The sequence below is a fragment of the Homo sapiens genome, chromosome 14 (genome assembly GCF_000001405.40).
Source record: "Homo sapiens chromosome 14, GRCh38.p14 Primary Assembly".
Lineage (NCBI taxonomy): Eukaryota > Metazoa > Chordata > Mammalia > Primates > Hominidae > Homo > Homo sapiens.
The window spans coordinates 90,909,924-90,930,048 of record NC_000014.9 but is presented as its reverse complement, the minus strand read 5'-3'; the positions used below and the strand labels follow the sequence as shown (position 1 = coordinate 90,930,048).

Genomic DNA, 20,125 nt, shown 5'->3' with positions numbered 1-20,125 from the left:
TATTTAAAAAATTAGTTGAGTGTGTTGGTGCATGCCTTTAGTCCCAGCTGCTCGGGAAGCTGAGGCAGAAGGTTCACTTGAACCCAGGAATTTGAGGTTGCAGTGAGCTGCGATCATGCCACTGCACTCCAGCCTAGACAACAGAGCAAGACTTTATCTCAAAAAAGAAAAGAAAAAAAAGCCTATCATTTTATAGTAAGTCTTGATTCTGAAAAGGTGAGATCTTTTTCCTCTTCACCCTCACCCTACCTCCCTCTCCTTTCCCCCGACCTTCGTCCTCCCTCTTCACTGTCTTCTCTATTCTTGGCTTTTTGTGTTCCTCCACATGAATTGTGGAATCGAATATATAAATTAATTTGGAGGGAACTGCAATTTTTGAATATTGACCCTTCCAGTCAATGAATTTGCATCAGTGAATGTTCAGATCTTCTCATTTATTTAGTTTTTTATGTCTTTCAAAAATATTTTGTACTATTATCTGTAATATTTTATACATATATTATTAGACTTATTTCTATTTATACATTTTGTTTCAATTATAAGAATTACCTTTAAAAACTGGAATATTTATGTTTTTCTTGCCAGAGCTTAGGAATGCTGTTGACCTTATACATAAAACATTGAATTCTTATTAGGTGCACAAATTTATAGATTGACTTGGATTTTTGTATAGATGACTACATTAAAAAGAAAAAAGTCAGAACCATTATTTGTAAGTAATAATGGCTTTGTTTCTTTTCATTTCTCATACCTTTTAGTTTCTGTGTGTTTGGGGATGGTTATTTTGTTTAGGTTTGGCTTGGTTTTATTGATTTGTCTACCAAGTTTTATGTGTATATGTATTTTTTACATTAAAGAACATGTATTTTAGTCATTTAGTATGGTATTTGCTGTAGGTTTTTGGTAGATAAATTATATTTTTAGTATCTTTATTGTTATAAGTAAATTCTTATGGTTTTTCTCTTTAACCACATAATGATGTGAATTATATGAATAGATTTTTGTTTCCTTTTTCAGTGTTAGACCATCTTTCAATTCCTGGAACAAACTTAACTTTCCATGATATGTATTTTTTATACATTGCTGGATTTTATTTGCTAATATTTTACTTAGGATTTTATTTTCTAAGTTGACCTATAATTTTCCTGTATAAAATTGCATTTGTCACATTTTAGTATCAAGGTTGTCCTAGCACCATGAAATGGATTTAGAATGGTTTATGTAAGATAAAGTACATTTCTTCTAAAGGTTTGTGTGGATTCACTTTCAAATCTGCCAGAGTGTGTTTTTTTCCTTTTTTTTTTTTTTTCATTTTAAGTGAGTGCAAGTAGCTTTTCAAATACTGATTTAATTTTTAAAATATTTACAAGTATATTTAGAGTTTTTATTTCTTCTTGAATGTTAACATTTTTATAGAAAATGGTATTATCTTTTTAAATTCTTTGACATCAGTTTCTTCAGAATTTCCTTACTTTTAAAAATCTCTGTAACTATAGTAATGTTTTATTTTAAATTACTGATATTATTCATTTGTTACTTTTCTTGATCCTTTGTTAGAAGTGTCCATTTTATTAGTCTTTTATAAGAAAGAGCTTTTGTCAAGCCTTCTATTTTTCTTCTCTTTCTTTGATGAGGTTTATTATTTTGTGCATTTTACTTTCTATAAGCTTCTTTCATATTCTTTTTCTAAGCTTTTAATTTGGACATCCAGCTCACTAATATTTAATCTTTTTAAAATAAAGCTGTGAATTTTTAAAAATAGCTCTAGCTGCATCCCACAAGTTCTTATATATAGTATTTTTATTGTTACTGTAATATTTATTGTCACTTTTTCTTTGAGTGGTGGCTCATACCTATATCCAAGCACTTTAAGAGTCTGAGGCGGGCGAATCACTTGAGCTCAGGAGCCTGGACAACATAGCAAAACTGCGTCTCTCTACAAAAAGTACAAAAATTAGCCAGGCGTGGTAGCAAGAGCCCAGCTACTTGGGAGGCTGAGGCAAGAGGATCACTTGAGCCTGGGAAGTCAAAACTGCAGTGAGCTGTGATCACACCACTACACTCCAGCCTGGATGACAGAATGAGACCTTGTCTCAAAAAAAAAAAAAAAAGAAAAGAAAAGAAAGAAAGAGAAAAAAGACATATGCCTGAAAGACTATGTGTGTATTCTCTAATTGATGGATACAGGATTTTGTATATTTTCATGAATATCATTCAAATCTTGAATATCTTTACTAATATTTTTCCTTCTTGATCTGTCAGTTATAAGAAACATATGTTAAAATACCCATGATGATTGTGGATTTGTCCATTTCTCCTTGAAGATCTCTCCATTTTTATTTTATATATTTTTAAAGCTTTTCACAAATTTTTGAGGATATTCAAGCTTGGAATAGAGTTATTTCCCTAGTGAAATGTTCCTTTTATTATTTTGTAATGTACGTAATTTTAATAATTCTTTTGCCTTAAAGTTCATTTCTCCTCCTATTAATAAAGATACTCCAGCTTTCTGTTGGTTAGTGCTGTCTGATACAACTTTTTTCATCTCTTTACTTTCAATCTTTCTTTGTCATTATGTTTTAGGTGTGCCTTTTATAAATAACATATAGCTGGATTTTATTTTTTGATCGAGAGTTTCTGTCTTTTAACTGGTGAGTTATGATACCTGTATATTATGATTACTGATATATTTTTATTTATTTCTCTTATCTTGCTTTGTGTTTCTCTTTGCTTCTGTTTTCCCTTTTTCCTGTCTTCTATTTAAATGATTAAGATCTTTTGATTTCATGTCCGCCTAATGGTCTGGAAGTCATGTATATTCTATTTCTGTTCTTTTAGTAGTTATTACCCTGATTTTATTTACTTATCTATTTTTATACACAAGGCATTTCTGTAATATTACCCTGATTTTAGACTTGTGCTCTGACTTAACAGAGTCTGAAATTATCCATTATCTCTCAAACGATCATGACCACTACAAGAACGTTAGAATGCTTCAACTTCAGTTATTTATCTAATTTTTATATTATTTAGTATTTTAGTCCTACCTGCTAAATTTCCACAAATCAATCATTACTGTGCAGTTATTACTTTTATTTTATAAATTCAGTGCTTGTTTATATTTACTTACACATTTGTTTTCTCTGCTTATTCTTGCTTCTTGCATCTGAGTTTTTTCTTTCAAGTTCAATTTATTAATTTATGAAATACATACGTTAGATTTCTTTTTAGCAAGGTTCAATGATTAATAAATTCTGTCTTTGTCTTAAAATGCTTTATTTTGCCCTGCATATTAACTGATAACTTAGCTGCTGGGTATAAATAGATCTAGGAATGGACCTGTGAGATATGTACACACACACACACACACACACACACACACACTTAAATATATATATATATACACATACATATATATGTCTCTCTTTTTATTGTAAAGTAAAACAGATTCAAAAACAAAATAAATGTATGGCTCAGTGAATTATTATAAGACAGCACCCTTGTAACCACCACTCAAGTGAAGAAATAGAATGTGGCCAATCAGGAATATATTTTTATTTAATCTGCTTAGGACTTTTGCAATATTCTGGATAATTTTCTCAAATTTACTAAGTCTTTAGTAAATTTTACTAAGTCTTTTTTTTTGTTTTTTTTTTTTGAGACAGAGTCTCACTCTGTGGCCCAGGTTGGAGTTGAATGGTGCGATCTCTGCTCACTGCAACCTCCACCTCCCAGGTTCAAGCAGTTCTCCTGCCTCAGCCTCCTGAATAGCTGGGACTACAGGCACGTGCCACCATGCATTTTTAGTAGAGACAGGATTTGAGCTATGTTGGCCAGGCTGTTCTCGAACTCCTGACCTCAAGTGATCCGCTCACCTTAGCCTCCCAGAGTGCTGGGATTACAGGTGTGAGCCACCATGCCCAGCAATTTTACTAAGTCTTGAGAAGATTATCCAGAATGTTGCAAAAGTATCCTCTAATTTACTGTCTTTCTTCAGCTGTGTCTAATACGTTTAGTCTGCCTTTTTTATTGCCTCGTTTCTTTATTTGCACAGCTCTATTTGATTCTTTTTCTTCTTTTCTTTTCTTTTTTTTTTTTTTTTTTTTTGAGTCAGGGTCTCACTCTATCACCGAGGCTGGAGTGCAGTGGTGCGATCATGGCTCACTGCAGCCTCGATCTCCTGCTCTCAGGTGATTCCTCTTGGCTCAGTCTCCCAAGTAGCTGGGACTACAGGCATGCGCCACTATGCCCTGCTAGGTTTTTTTTTTTTTTAATTTTTTTGTAGAGACAGGGTTTCACCATCTTGCCCAGGCTGTCTTATTTTATGTCTTTTATCTTTTACAACATGCTGGTCATTTACAGATTATTTTTCTACTGTTTCAAGTAATCCTTCAGTTTGTTGTGTCTGTGGAGTCTAGTTCACTTATTTAGTAATATCAAGACATCAGCGCTTTATAGGAATTCTGGGCAGGCTAAGTTGTGAGAATATCTCTGGTTCTATCATGTGTCCCAGGGTGTCACCATGTTTGGCCAGATTTTCCTACTTCCCCACACCGTGCAGAAGAGTAAATTCAGATCTCAAATCTAAGAAGCATAAGCCTAGGCATTTAAGCTCATAGGAGGAACTTTGTTCAGCTAGGGCCTAGACAGAAACGAATGAGTGCTAGCAGATGAATTTATTTTTCTGTAGTTTGTTTTCACTGAGGTTTAGCTTTCTTTGGTTTCAAGGTTTATATAAGAGTGGTAATTCTAGCCCATCTCATTTGAGCTGACAGCCTCATCGTTTATCCTCACAGGGTATTAAAACTCAAGTTTCTGGATTGCTGAGACCTGTAACAACTCACCTTTCCACCGTTTGTGCAGCCACAGCACTAGGTCATATGCCTACCTCTCTGGTTTTCTGTACTCACTTCCTGGCTGGCACCCAGGAATTCTCCTTTCTTTCTTGTGAGCCCGGTCTTTGGCGATTACCAGTGGAATATGTAATCCTTTTTAAAAATCAGTCAAACATTTCTAGATATTTGTGTGGAGATTTGCCAGCATTAAGAGTCTTTCTAAATATGGGATGAGAAAAAAACCTGTTTTCATTGATGATTTTACACCAGAATTTATCTGTCACAGGCAGATATGATTAGGACAAAACATTGGCAAATAAAAGCTAGGAATTATTTCATCAGAGTCTTTATTGAGAAATACTTAAGTCTGGCATTTGAGTTACTATTGGGATTCCTCCCTAGAAGGAAACCAGCTTTATATCCAGTGTTATCTGATCCTTTTCTCTAAGGAGCAATGAAGCCTCCTTGATTGGCTAATCACTTAAAACACATGAGTATTCCATATTATCTGCTAGTATGTTGTACACATCCCACTCCTGCTGTTTTTGTTCATAATCAAGTAAATTTTCATTCACATTTTTTTTAACTGTGATAACTAAAGTTGCTTATAGTATGGGCATAAATGTCAAATAGGTTGTCTCCTTGAGAAAATTGTTACTTGAGAAAATTATTGTATTTTGAACAAATAATAAACCATAAGCATAGTAGAACTGTTACCTTGAAGTCTTTCCTGCCCCTATCAGAGACTCTGGAATATGTTTTATGGTGCATCCTTCCCCTGTCAAATCTCATCAGTTTGTCTTCTTGGTAGAATTATTTTAAGGCATTATGCATCTTCATAGGCAAATAAATACAAATTCAAAAGTTACAATTGGTGATATTTTTACAAATAGAAGAGAAACTCTTAGGAAGTTTAGGCAGAGACCTAAAAGTTAGAACCCAGAGGGAATAACACAGGAGGAAGCAAATATAGGTTTAGAACTGGGTAAGATGGCAAGGGTTTAAAATAATTGAGAGAATTAAGAGATGTTTGTCTTTATTTACTACTATTCTCAGTGATTGGGACTTCTCAACATTTAAGCTTTAGTTTTTCTATATTCTGGAATTTCTATCAAATAAATAAATATTTATTAATGTATACCCTATCAACTCCTCCCCCAAAGCACCAGATAAGCTAAAATGAACTATAAGAGAGGCCAAAAATTACTTGGAAAAGGTAGAAGAAAAATCTTTTAAGCACTTAACTTGGGGTGGTTGTGAGCTTCCTCTAAGTTGAGATAATAAATGAGCTACGTAATTGCATAATTGATTATCTAAAAAATAATTTTTAGGTTAACTTTCAGGCATGATATATTAGCCCTTTTGAATTTTTAAAATTCTATAAAAAGGAAACATCTATCTTTAAGAAATAATCTTTTTTTAAAGACAGTTTTGTTTACCATCGTTAAACATAACATTAGCGTTGTCAAACCTACACAAGATGGTAAGGTAGAAAAAAAAATTTTTATTCTTTTTTATCTTTGGGTTTATTATTCCCCCTCTTAGAATTTGGTCTTTCCTACCCCTTCAAGTTACCCAGTGTTTTCTCAATCTTGCCTAATAAAGTCATTCATACTAATGTGTTAGACAGTTCATGTTGCCTTACTAGGACTATTTGCATTCTTCAAAAAAAGGGTTAAATCAGCAACTGAAATATACATGCATGCAAAAAGTGAACAAGAATAAATGAATGGATTCATGGAAAGGATGGATGGATGGATGGATGGATGGATGGATGGATGGATGATGGTACCATTTCATGCATGAGAAGTCTTTCTGATGGGATGGGATGACATATACCCAGGACTCATATTATGTAGACAGTGGTCTGTTCCAGTGAAGAGTGGGTCTGTCAAGTAGATTCTACCACTACTTTGCCACTATAGTGTATCTCAACCACTAACATGTATTACTTTCTTCTTTTGTCACTTGTCATACTAGCTTGAAATCAAATCCCTTTTTTGTTTGTTTGTTCAAGACTGAAAGAGCATATTCCTTTTGTGGAACTATTGAATACATGGCACCAGATATTGTCAGAGGGGGAGATTCAGGACATGACAAGGTATGTTCTATTTTTGATGCTTCTTTATGTATTTCTATAAAATGTACTATAAGAATCCTAGTTAACAACTTAGGTCATCTCTTCAACAGAGCCGTCTTTCTGGTGTTGATTGTCTTACCTTCCTTTTTTTCTCTTTTGCTTTGTATTCCTGAACACATTATGATATCTAGTATTTTGGAGGAAAAAGATAATACAAAGGTTAGGACATTCTAGATTTCCCTTTTTAAAGATTTTATTGGTGAGAATTGTGTTTTATTTTATAGAGTAACACTCTTGTTAAAGTTGAGACCTCCAAACTAGTCAAATAATTTTTATTTTATTTCTGTTGAGAGAGCCTATTTCTTAGAGTACAAACTATGACTCCATTCTTTTAAAAAATTAAGGGCCTGTAATCCCAGCACTTTGGAAGGCCAAGGTGGATGGATCACCTGAGGTCAGGAGTTCGAGACCAACCTGGCCAACATGGCAAAACCTCATCTCTACTAAAAATATAAAAAATTAGCTGGGCGTGGTGGCGAGCGCCTGTAATTTCAGCTACTCGGAAGGCTGAGGAAGGAGAATGTTTGAACCCGGGAGGCAGAGGTTGCAGTGAGCAGAAATTGTGCCATTGCACTCCAGCCTGGGCAGCAAGAGTGAGACAACGACTCAAAAGAAAATTACTTACTTATTTTTGCATGAGACCCTGGCCTTTTAGGATACAAGTGAACCACAATGCAATACAGAAGGGTCACGGCATGTAAAACTGCACATTGTTCCTGTCTGAGTCGTGATGAATGGTTTTGGACAGTATTTATTGGCATTTTTAATTTCTACTAGAAAAACATTCGGAAACATATAGTCATGTGTATCACCTTTAGTTAATAATTGGCTTTTTAAGCTGTCACTAAGAGGTCAATGAAAAGGGAATCACTGATATTTTCTTATTCCCAGTTTCTGCCTTTAACTTTCCAGAGACACTGGAGACTGTTGATTATCTTCCCAACAGAAATAAATATTTTAACAACCCTTGGTGAAAGAAAAAATCCTGAGTTCTAGATAGTTTAAGTTTGTTTTCCTAAGCCCTCTAAAAAGCTCAATTTTTTTGGCCTCCTCTCTTGCCTTTGTATGTGCAAAATGAAGATTCTAGAAGAAACTTTCTAAGTAATTATGTTATAAAATCTAGGTCATGGTTTTTTTTCTGTATTAAAGGGTACAAAATTTGTTCATTTTTTAACACTTCTGTTTTATTAATAGCTTTATCCAAATAAGGTATTCTACTTTTTGTTCCCCATCTTTCCTTCTCCTTCATTCCCTTTCAGAGTCCCACATATGCAGTTCAGATATCTGGCTGTGGAGAATCTTTGGTCTCCTTCCTGACGACTAATCATGTATTTAAAAGCATGTTCTTCAAGTTTGTGTGTTACTGGTTTTGGAACCCAGGGCTAAGAATCTGATTATTGATCTCTGTCAGTTGAATAATGTGGTTTCAAATCCAACAGCAAAACATTCTGAGGGTTCTGACTCAAATGGCAGTCAAACTGCTTGTATTAATGGAAGAGTTTAATTGCTGGCTTAGTTTGCTTCTTGATATTCTTTGAAGCTGTTGGGGAATTTGGTAGGAATTTATACCTGTTAATTTGAAAATTATCTTCAGAGACCTAATGGAACCAATTTTCACATAAGAAAATCTTATATTACTCCTAGAATTTCTACATACCTAAGGTGCAGAATATACCTAGTCAATAAATATTTTTTCCCACACCTGGAACAACCTGACAGTTATTAAATGATATAATGTATGCAAAGTGCTCATCATAGTGCCTGGCATGAGGAAAATATTCAGTAAATACCTTTGCTCTCACGATTTTAGTCTGCCTGATGTGTTTTGTATGTCAGCACTCTGTATTTTCTTAATAGCTCTAGGCTCATAAATTTTGTCACCTCTCTGAAACTTAGGCCCTGGAAATTGGAAGCAAATAGTTTGAAATTTTAACATCTAGTTAATATTTCTCATTGGTGTACACTCATTTATTCAATAGTTATTAAAATTCTGATTTGCCTAATTACAAAAGAAGTAATTTTCAATACATCAAGATTCTTTAGGCCAGGCATGGTGGCTCACGCCTGTAATCCCAGCACTTTGGGAGGCTGAGGTGGGCAGATTGCTTGACCCTAAGAGTTCAAGACCAGCCTGGGCAACATAGTGAGACCCCATCTCAAATAAAATAAAATAAAAGATTCTTTAAATTATATATAATTTTCTATGTTCTCAGTTCAGGTAACTGCATGTATAAATTGGTTTCCAAATTAGAACACATTTTATTTTATATTATTTTAGATCTTCCCATCAGTGAAGACTCTGAGGTTTATGTGTGATAGGTTCTATAAGAAAAATTGATTTAGGCAGTTAGGAAAAAATAACATACCCTTGGATGTGGTTTTTTTTTTCATTTATTGTTCTTTGAATTTTAGACATTTCATAAGGCTCACTGGAGCTGAATACTTTAGTTCCCTATCATAAGCCCAAAGAAATATCACCTACTTAAAATTTTAAAAATTTATATAAAGTTTAAATTTTTTAAATTATCAAGGTAAACGGTTACTAGTTTAAGAAATAACATGCTTTCTGTGCTGAGGATACTTGGATATTTGTTCTCTAAATGTCTTTCTTGCATGTGTTAATTTAATACTCCTTACATAGAAGGAGGTGTACAAAATCATTTTTTAAAACATTTTCCTAATAGATAGCTTTTATTCATTTTTTCTTTCTTATAAAATATTTTAGTTGATAATTCTATAAAATGAAATTATTGTTGTTTTATAGGCAGTTGACTGGTGGAGTTTGGGTGTTCTAATGTATGAATTACTAACTGGAGCATCTCCTTTCACTGTTGATGGAGAAAAAAATTCCCAAGCTGAGATATCTAGGTAAGATTTGACAAAATAAAATAAATGCATTGTTTTCTCAAAGGAACTGATCACATTTCTGCGGTTAGGCTGATGTAAACGATAATTTTTTAAAATGAGGATAGACAAAGTGATGTTTATGTGGTAAATTTTCATTTCTATCATATGGCATATAGATATGTTACCTTTACATTTCTTTATACTGATTTTATGTGCCCAGTTGAATCTGAAGTTAACTTATGATCTATAGTGTCATGATTTTGGTGTGCCCCAGAGCACTTAGCATATTGTCTTACACTTAGTAGATACGTCATATATTGAGAAGTTTATTTAATGGATACTTTTTTCTCTACTGTATATGTAATTTATTTCTTTGTGACTTTAACATGAAGAAACAGTAATGATATTTTTGAACTCATGAATGTAGTCTCAATAGAAACAAATATCGTAAAATTATCCTCTTGTAGGTCTCAGAGCATTATTCTCTTCTTTTCTTTCAGAGCAGCTATCACAGTTGCAGTGTTGCATTTTTGTTTATAATTATTTGATTAATGTCTATCTGTCACACTAGATTGTAAGCTCTGTGAGAGTAAGGGACATGTCTGGCTTTGATTCTCAGTACTTGCTATATAGAATGCCGTAAATATTTGAGGGATAAAATGGGTTAATGAACAAATAAGTGAATAGTGACCAACATTATACTAATTACTAGTTATGTTTTTGTCCTGTTTTTACTTGAATTTTGTAACTTTGAGAACAGATTTGACATTAAAAATTAAAAATAGAGATTCCACTTCCAAAGAAGATGGAATAAACAGGGACCAGATTTACTTTCCTGCCTGAAACAATTTTAACAATGGGCAAAATATATGAAACAACAGATTTGAAGACATTGGACATCTGGAAGTGAAGGACAGTGTTCTTTGAGAGGCGGAAAAATAAATGAGGTGAGCCCTATGATTGCCCCAGCTTACTGCCTTGAGAGCATTTCCAGGCCGCAAAACCCAGACGCAGTTCAGGAGGTGGAACTGAGAGTCCAAGAAGATCAAGACAGCTAGAGTTTGCAGGCCAGAGTATGGGAGAGGAGAGTGGCACCCAGAGGGAAGTCCAGAGGTGTGCAGAGGTATTCAATTGAGTGTTGGTAAGCACACAGTGAGGGAACTATTCCATATAGTGAAGATGTTATTTCTTGCCAAATTGAACTGTAGATTCAATGCATTCACATTTCCAGCAGGCATTTTTTTTTCTTTAGAAATTGACAACCTGGGTCTAAAATTCATTATGAAAATGCAGAGGACCTAGAATAGCCAAATTATCTTTAAAGAAATATAAGTCTTGAAATAAACTTTGTTCTAAGTTACAGTAATTTAAGACATTGTGATATTGGTGTCAGGATAGACAAATGATCAATGGCAAATGATTTTTGACAAAGATGCAAAGTCACTTCTGTAAAGATAGTTTTGAATAAATGGTGCTGGAACCACTGGCTATCCAGATGGAAAAAAGTGAACTTCAAGAAATACTTCATACCATATAGAAAAATTAACTCAAAATGGATTATAGACCTAAATGTAAAACCTGAAACTATAAAACTTCTGGAAGGAAACATAAAGGAAGACCGTTGTGAGCTTGGTTTAGGTAAAGATTTCTTAGATATGACACAAAAAGTGCAATCCATAAAACATTAATAAATTGGACTTCATCAAAATTAAGTATTTCTGCTCTTCAAAACTGTTAAGAGAATGAAAAGACAAGCCACAGACTGGGATAAAATTTTAAATCATATGTCTGCTGAAGGACTGGTATCCAGAATGTATAAAGAATTCTTAAAACTCAAGAAAACAAACAACTGCATTTAAAAATGGGCAAAAAATTTGAACAGACAGTTCATCAGAGAAGATGTGTAGGTGGCAAATTAGCACATGAAAAGACTATCAACACCTTTAGTCTTTAGGGAAATGCAAATTAAAACATCAATGAAATACCACTATATATTCAACTAGTATGGCTAAAAATAAAGAGACTGATAATACCAAGTGCTGATAAAGACTTAGAGGAACTGGAACTTTCATACACTGCAAGGGGAAATGTAAAATGGTACAAAAACTTTGGAAAATAGGCAATTTCTTAAAAAGTTAAACGTTACTCACTGTCTAATCTGTCCATTCCATTCCTGGGTAATTACCAAGGGAAATGAAAACATATGTCTATATAAAAACTTGTACATGAATGTTAATGACAACTTTCATTTGTAATAACTGAAAACTGGAAATAATCCAGGTATCTGTCAACAAGTAAGTGGTTAAACAAATTGTGGTTTATTCATACAAATGGAATACTCCTTAGCAATGAAAAGGAATTTATCTAAGACATGTGCAGTAGTGCACCTGTAGTCACAGTTGCTGAGGAGGGTGAGGTGGGGGGATTGCTTGAGCCCAGGAGTTTGAGGTCAGCCTGGGCAATGTAGCAAGACCCTATCTCTTTTAAAAAAAAGGAATGATTTGTTTATACTCTTGCAAATGGATGAATCTCAAAATAATTACACCAAGTGAAAGAAGCGAGAAAATATAGAATATATACCATATGATTCCATTTCTGGAAAATGCAAACTAACCTACAGTGACAAAAAGCAGAATAGCAGTTGCCTAGGGACTGGGATTGGGGGAGGTCAGGAGAGATTACAGTACGTAGGAAAACTTTGGAAGGTGATGAGTATATTTGTTTCTTGATTGTGGCAATGGTTTCACAGGTGTATACATATGTCAAAACTTATCAAACTTAGAACATTTTCTTCCATGAAATTAAAAAAACATAAAATTATATACTTTGTATGTGGGAATTTTATTGTACGTCAATTGTACTTCAATAAAACTGTTAAAAATTTAAAGTGTACCTTTTCCAGGACAGGCTAGGAAGTAAATGATTTCTCACTGTTTCAATTTATTTAATGCCAAAGTTAAGTGAGCAGTACTTCTTTTTAAAATCAGGGTGAGTTAAAATCTCACCTCTTATGAAAAATTATAAATATGACTTTGTTTATTTTAAATTGATTTTTTGGCAGTTTGAAAATACCTCAGACTATAGGAAACTGTGGCCACCGTCCTGAGAATTTGGGTCCAGTTGTAAGATCATACCTGTCATGGTGACAGGTACTAAGGGTCGCCTTAGCCTGACAACATTAAGTGGTGGCTTCTCTAATTCCCCTCTTTCTGATTCCACATATACAGGCAATCTTTATAAAATAATTTTCCTTTCCACTGTAGGTCTGAGTGTGGAGAGAAGTATATTTCTTATGATGGCAAGAATATTCTGAACAAAGTAATGTTCACATTTAAATTGCTTTTATTCCCTTTATATCAATCAATTGGCATTCTGGTTTTAGAAAGAGAAAGAGAGCCTGAATCAGATTGTTTAAAACCTTACAACTAAAGCAAATAGACTTTTCAAGAATTTAAATAGGATTCCTTCCCTTTAATCAATTAATTATCCACTTTGTCATGGTGTCAACCTGTAATTTCATGGTTTTGTGTGTGTGTGTGTGTGTGTGACAGAAATTTACAAACAATGTGATAACTAAATTATCCTACACTACATTTTCCTTTCAAAATAATCATTCTGAGTATCTTTCCTGGCATAAATCTTGTATGTATCATTTAGATAAATGTGCCATTATCTGTCCCCAGTGTCTTAATTAGCTCAGGCTTTTTATCATCATTGAATTTTTCCATTCATTAATTATTATGATCTTCCCTGAACTCTGCATACTTTCCGTATTTTTTGTTTGAAATGGTTCAAAGTAATGTATTATTTAAGTTATCTGTTCGCCATTTTTGTCTACAGGTAGCCTAGAATAAAAATGTTTTTCTAGTATATCAAATTTCAAAATATGCTAAGAACTTAGAATGAGAAGAAACTTAGAGTCCAGCTTTTCCCCTGACATAAGAATCCCTTTCTCTGTAAGAATCCCTGATAGTTGTGCCATCATGGAAAGGATGGAGCTTCTATAAGGTGTTTTTAAGGAAGCCATGTTCATTAATGGACAACTTTAGTTGTATAGAGTTTTCCCCCTCTTAAACTGAAATTATTATTTTCTCATTTCTGAATGTTAATTTTGGTCCTGCCTGCTCAAGAACATGGAATAATTCTATTATTTCTTTCCAGACATTACTTTAAGGATAGTTTTATCTAGGATAAATCTTTTAGCTATTCATTAGAAATCATTTCTAGATTTCTCATATCCTGATACTATTTTGGGCAAATATTAAATTATCAGTATTATTGATTGGAATGATTGGTTTTTAGCTTTTCTGTGAGTCTGTTTCTTATTTTTTAAAATACATGTACATGTGCTTTTCTTACGTGTCTTACACTAGCTTTTATTTTATAAATTTATTTTATTTATTTATTTATTTTTTTAATGTTGAGACAGAGTCTCACTCTGTCACCAAGTCTGGATATAGTGGCCTGATCTCGGCTCACTGCAACCTCTGCCTCCCAAGTTAAAGTGATTTTCCTGCCTCATCCTCCCCAGTTGCTCGATTACAGGCACATGCCACCACGCCCACCTAATTTTTGTATTTTTAGTAGAGATGGGGTTTCACCATGTTGGCCAGGCTGGTCTCAAACTCCTGACCTCAAGTGATCCGCCTGCCTCAGCCTCCCAAAGTGCTGGGATTACAGGATGAGCCACTGCGCCTGGCTTCCATTAGTTTTTATTGCCTTTCTGTATAGAACATCTTTTACGCCAATGGCCACTCTCAGTTCCTTGCAATGTGGGCTGCTCTAACCTGACAACTCTCTTTGTCAGAGCCTGTGAGCTGGAAAGGCAGTAGAGTCCACTAGGAAGATGGGATGCCTTGTAACCTAATCACGCAATTGACATCCTATCATCTTTCTGTACCCAGTATTGGTTATAAGGAAGGCACTAGGTCCAACCCACAGGTAAGAGGCTGTGAATGCAAATATACAGTGATCATTGGGGCCATCTTCAAAGTCTGCCTACCATGAGCCCTTTACAAAAAAGATTGCCAACCCTTGGTCTAGGTAATTAATTTTGAGATATGTTGCTTTTGGAGTCATGTATAGAGTAACTACAAGTATCTTTTTTTTTACCCTGTTTTAAGAAGAAATCAAATGTATTATCTTTCTTGGCTTTCTTAGGTCTTTATGATAAAATCCTTTCTTGGCATATTTTATAAAGCCTCCTTGATTCTCAGTTTGCTGGGGGTTTATTCTTTTCTTCCTCATTTTGGGTATTTCTGTACCCAATATGAGCATCTATGTTTCCCAGGGTTTTTTGACTAGTTAACCAAAAACTTTTTAAAGTTTGTCACAGTAGCTACTCATCTACACATTCGTCTACACGAGGCAATTGCAGCAGCTCCGGACTAGAGTCCAGCAGCAGGAGGGGATGGCAAGGAGAGGACAGGGTGACATGGCCCTTCCCTTGGCACTTATACTCCTCAGCTCTGCATCTTCTTTCCTTTCTTCATTTGTTTTGCACTGCTTCACTCTACAACCTGTTGGGGTGAATCATACTTTGTTATTAATTGCTCTGAGGCACTCCCTAGCGGGGTGGAGCATTTGGAGTCCTGAATAAAAACCTAGGGATAGGCCAGGTGCAGTGGCTCACGCTTGTAATCCTAGCACTTGGGGAGGCCAAGGCAGGTGGATCACCTGAAGTCAAGAGTTTGAGACCAGCCTGGCCAACATGGCAAAACCCCATCTCTACTAAAGATTAAAAAATTAGCTGGGCATGGTGATGGGTGCCTGTAATTCCAGCTACTCAGGAGGCTGAGGCAGGAGAATCGTTGGAACCCTGGGGGCGGAGGTTGCAGTGAGCCGAGATTGCACCACTGCACTCCAACCTGTTGTGAAAGAGTGAAACTCCATCTCAAAAAAAAAAAAAAAAAAAAAACCCTAGGGATCATTCTTCCAACTGTGGAAAAGGTCCATCAGAAACATCATCAGTCTGCCTATCATTTCCCAGGCCTTCTTAGTCTCTCACCGGAGACCTGGCCCTCTGTTGTTTCCCTGATGATGCTGCAGTGTAGATTCTTTGCCGCCACCTCTGTGCACCACCCCAGCCAGTTCTCTACTGCTACAGTCAACCCAGAGTCTAAAAGGTCAGCCTCATACATACTGGAAAGGGCCGTGAAAGGAAGAAGGTAGTTTTCTGTGTTCACGACTCTGTCACACATTTTGGTCTCTGGATCACCTGCTGTTTCTCATGTACTCATGGTTCTCCATGGCCTCCCAAAGAAGGTCTCATCATTTTGGGTGATAATCTTGTCTCTATAGTCTGACTGCTGCTCTCTGCCTCTAGCTCTTTTCAGTTTAGCTTTCTCTTTGGAATTCCTTGCATTGAAGTCTGCTTCTGAGTGTCTTAGTTTTATTGTCACATGCAGCCACTTGGCTCCAAGGAACCCCCAAGGTCTGAGTTTACCACTCTCTTCCATCACTATCATCTTCCCCCTGTTAGGGAAAGGTAGTCTAAGGGCCATCATGGAATGATTGGAGAAGTAAAGGTTTAACAGCATTGTGTGGGCTACAGAAAAAAAAGTGTACAAAGGAAGAGAGACAGGAAGAGGTCTGGCGATAAAAGTCATACTAAGTAACTTTTAAATCTTATTTAAGACACTTCCAGGCACGTCTAACAAGCCAGTCTAGTAGCTCCACCAACAATCTAACTGTACAAGAGCGGTGAGGACCTCCAGCAGACCAGTTTGGTTCACTAAGGAAGCCTTAGCCATTGAGAGGAAGGGCAATTTTTGGCAATATCTATCACTTTTAGATAGAAGATGCTATAAATTAAAAAGAAAGCTCTTTTCAGCAAAATCTTTGCAGTATCATGCATTCATCTTTGGTTCCCCTAACTTTGTAAAAGAAACAAGTTTTTTCCTTCAGTCCCAGAAGCAATGGCCGGAGTGTGCACCTCTCAGATGGCTTCCCAGCAGTGTAGTAGGAGACCTGGTTAGTGTACTGGGCAGAAGAGGGAAATAAGATGCTTCATGTGGCCGGCCGCAGTGGCTCACACGCCTATAATCCTGGCACTTTGGGAGGCTAAGGAGGGTGGATCACTTGAGGTCAGGAGTTCGAGACCAGCCTGGCCAACATGGTGAAACCTCGTCTCTACTAAAAATACAAAAATTAGCTGGGCGTGGTGGCGAGTGCCTGTAATCCCAGCTACTCGGGAGACTGAGGCAGGAGAATCACTTGAACTCAGGAGGCGGAGGTTGCAGTGAGCCAAGATTGCACCAGTGTACTCCAGCCTGGGCAACAGAGGGAGACTCCACCCAAAAAAAAAAAAAAAAAAAAAAAAAGATGCTTTATGTGACAGTGAAGAAGAGTATTTATAGCTTACATAAGACATGCCCTGGGGACGACTCCCAGAGTTACTGGGTGGGTGAGACTTTTGAGTGCAGTCACAGATTCCACAGAAGCAGATAAGGATACCAGCCAAATAATCTCAATTTATTATTATTAATGACCTGGCTGGTGTGGCCTAGGGAAACACAGGTTAAGTGGATCAAGGAAGAACTCAGTAACACCAAAAGTGAAGTGACAGCCTGTCTCATAGCTAAAGGAAGACAGACTACTATAGAGTGACATCAACAGCACCGTTCACCTGGGGACCGCTGTGTGCCAGCCTCTGTGCTGAGAAGTCACCCACATTGTATTCTGGAATCCTCAGAACCCTGAAAAATAAGTGGTAGCATATGCAGTTTTACAGATGAAGAAACTAGGATGTAACTTGCCTGGGACTCAATGCTACTGTGAGGTTGGACTGGGATCAAATACAGAGTTACTGGAAAGTTACTCCATGCTGTCTTCACGGGTATCACTTGTTTCCATGCTGCTGTTTTCTTTCCAAGTCTGGCAGGTGCTTATTTCAGGTAAAAGACTGGGAAGTACTGGCCCACGGACTGCAGGGAATTGATTTCATTAATCAGTGGACTATTTGTTGAATAATTCTTTACTCCTAAGGAGAAAGAGAAATAGAGGGTAAAGTCCTTGTCCTAAGAACATTTATTTATATAGCATTTGGGAGGATATGGAATAAATACATGAAAATTCATAGTATCAGGGAGTTTTGACAAATGTCTGAGTGCTTTTAGGTAAGAAGAATGCTGGGGGAGGACAAAGGAGGTTTGGTTCCCTGGGGGTGGGCTGTCAGGGAAGCATTCATGATGGAGATGCGGACTGGGTTGGGTAGAAGAGAAAAGATGGTGGGGAAGTACCCCCAGTGGCACATGGGAGGTTCAGGACTCCATTGCCTCCTTGCCACTCTGTGTACTCCTGCCATTGGGTTCGTGATCTTGTAAGCGAAACTCATTTTATTGTTCCCACTCTAAATGTCATGTTCATTATAGTTTAAGATACGCATATGGGGTAAAGAGTCAATAATAACACGCAGAGACATATACTATTAATGTTTTGGTATATTATGTTTTATTCTTTTTTACTTGTATAATGTTGTACTCATACTAGAAATATAATTTTGTATTTTTCAGTTTTTGCTGAAATTTATGTCGTAAACATTTTGTTCTCTAATTAGAAAACTCTCTGTAAACATAATTTTGTAATGGCTGCTTAATGTACTATTGAGTGGATACACCATAATATGTTTCACTTTTCCCCTAGTGTTGGACAAAAATGTAGAGTAAGTGAAGCTTACTGAGAGCTGTTTCTAACTCAGGCAGGCACATAAATAATTTTATAATTCTGGGACCACATGGGAACCAGGAAGTGAAAGTCAAGAACGTTAAGTCATGAAATGGAAAAGATTGTGAACTTTTAAATGGAGGACAAATAGAAATAAATAAACAACCCATGAGAATGCATGCCATCTGCAGAAAAGCAAAAGAGCTATTGCAGGCATCTCACTGAAACTGTGAGGAAGAAAGGTCCTGAGTGGGCAAGATACAGTAAGTAGAAAACAATTTGACATTTATTTATTCACTAAATATTTGTTGAGGAGTTGCTATGTGCTAAGCAATGTTCTAGGCCCTGGAAATAAAGCAGTGAACAAAACAAAGAGAATTCTTACTCCATTAGAGCTTATGTTTTAGTTGAGAGAGATAAATAATAGACAAATAAACATATGGTATGCATGAAGAAAAATAAAACAGAGTCAAGGGATAAGGAGTATGGGGGTAATGGCTATTCTTGATAGGATGGTTAGAGCAAGCTTCTCTGAAAAGTTGACACTTGAACAAAGACTTCAGTGGGTTTAAGAGCATCCCCAGGCACAGTGGCTCACGCCTGTAATCCCAGCACTTTGGGAGGCCGAGGTGGGAGGATCATGAGGTCAGGAGATCGAGACGATCCTGGCTAACACGGTGAAACCCTGTCTCTACTAAAAATACAAAAAATTAGCCGGGCGTGGTGGAGGGCGCCTGTAGTCCCAGGTACTCAGGAGGCTGAGGCAGGAGGATGGCGTGAACCTGGGAGGCGGAGCTTGCAGTGAGCTGAGATCGCGCCATTGCACTCCAGCCTGGTCGACAGAGCCAGACTCTGTCTCAAAAAAAAAAAAAAAAAATAATAATAATGATAATAATAAAAGAAGTGAGCATCGCCTATTGTTACTAAGACTTGTGCTTAAAGGTCAGTGATTTTTTTTTTGAGACAGGTCTTTGTTATATTTTAGTGAACACACAAAAACACATGTACAAAGCTTCATAGGTTTACTTTTTCTAAAACATTTTATTATAAAAGTTTTCAAACATTTGTTACAGTGGACACTCACACACTCACTACCTAAATTCTACCATGAATATTTCATCATCCTTGCTTATTTCCTGTCTGCCTATGTATCTGTACCTCTCCCATCATAGGTTTAATTTTAATTTTGGTGTCTACCCTTTATTCTGTACACTTGTGATTTCCTTTTGCCACAGAGGTTTCCAGAAACTTAATTCATGAGTAGGAAGAAATTTTATATTCATTTTTATATTACTGATGTGTATTTTAATTTTATTTCATTTGGTTTTTTACATGCCGTTCCTCAATCCATTTGGAATTCATTTGGGTTGTAATATAAGGCAAGGTCTTGCTTTTGTTTTTTTATTTCCTGTACAGCTGGTTTCCCCAACATTTGTGGCCTTTTGCTATGCGATCTGGTCATTTTTTTTTAAATAATGCAAGTTTTTGGCCGGGCACGGTGGCTCACGCCTGTAATTCCAACACTTTGGGAGGCCGAGGCAGGCAGATCACCTGAGGTCAGGAGTTCGAGACCAGTCTGGCCAATATGGCGAAACCCCATCTCTACTGAAAATACAAAAATTAGCCAGGCATGGTGGTG

The 20,125-nt window shown here is 36.2% G+C and overlaps 1 protein-coding gene across 14 annotated transcripts in view; it reads left to right on the top strand.

The window, feature by feature from the left end:
- The window catches only part of RPS6KA5 (ribosomal protein S6 kinase A5), a 212,781-nt gene that overhangs the window by 130,593 nt on the left and 62,063 nt on the right, over positions 1-20,125 (top strand). For 10 of the 14 annotated variants that reach the window (NM_001322232.2, NM_001322228.2, NM_001322233.2 and 7 more), the window contains 2 exons: positions 6,853-6,936; positions 9,740-9,843. In NM_001322232.2, the coding sequence (NP_001309161.1) occupies positions 6,853-6,936; positions 9,740-9,843 (188 nt within the window). Of the gene's footprint in view, positions 1-6,815; positions 6,937-9,739; positions 9,844-10,582; positions 10,770-20,125 lie in introns of all 14 variants that reach the window. The other 4 variants (NM_001322230.2, NM_001322234.2, NM_001322236.2 and 1 more) reach the window with 4 other exon arrangements.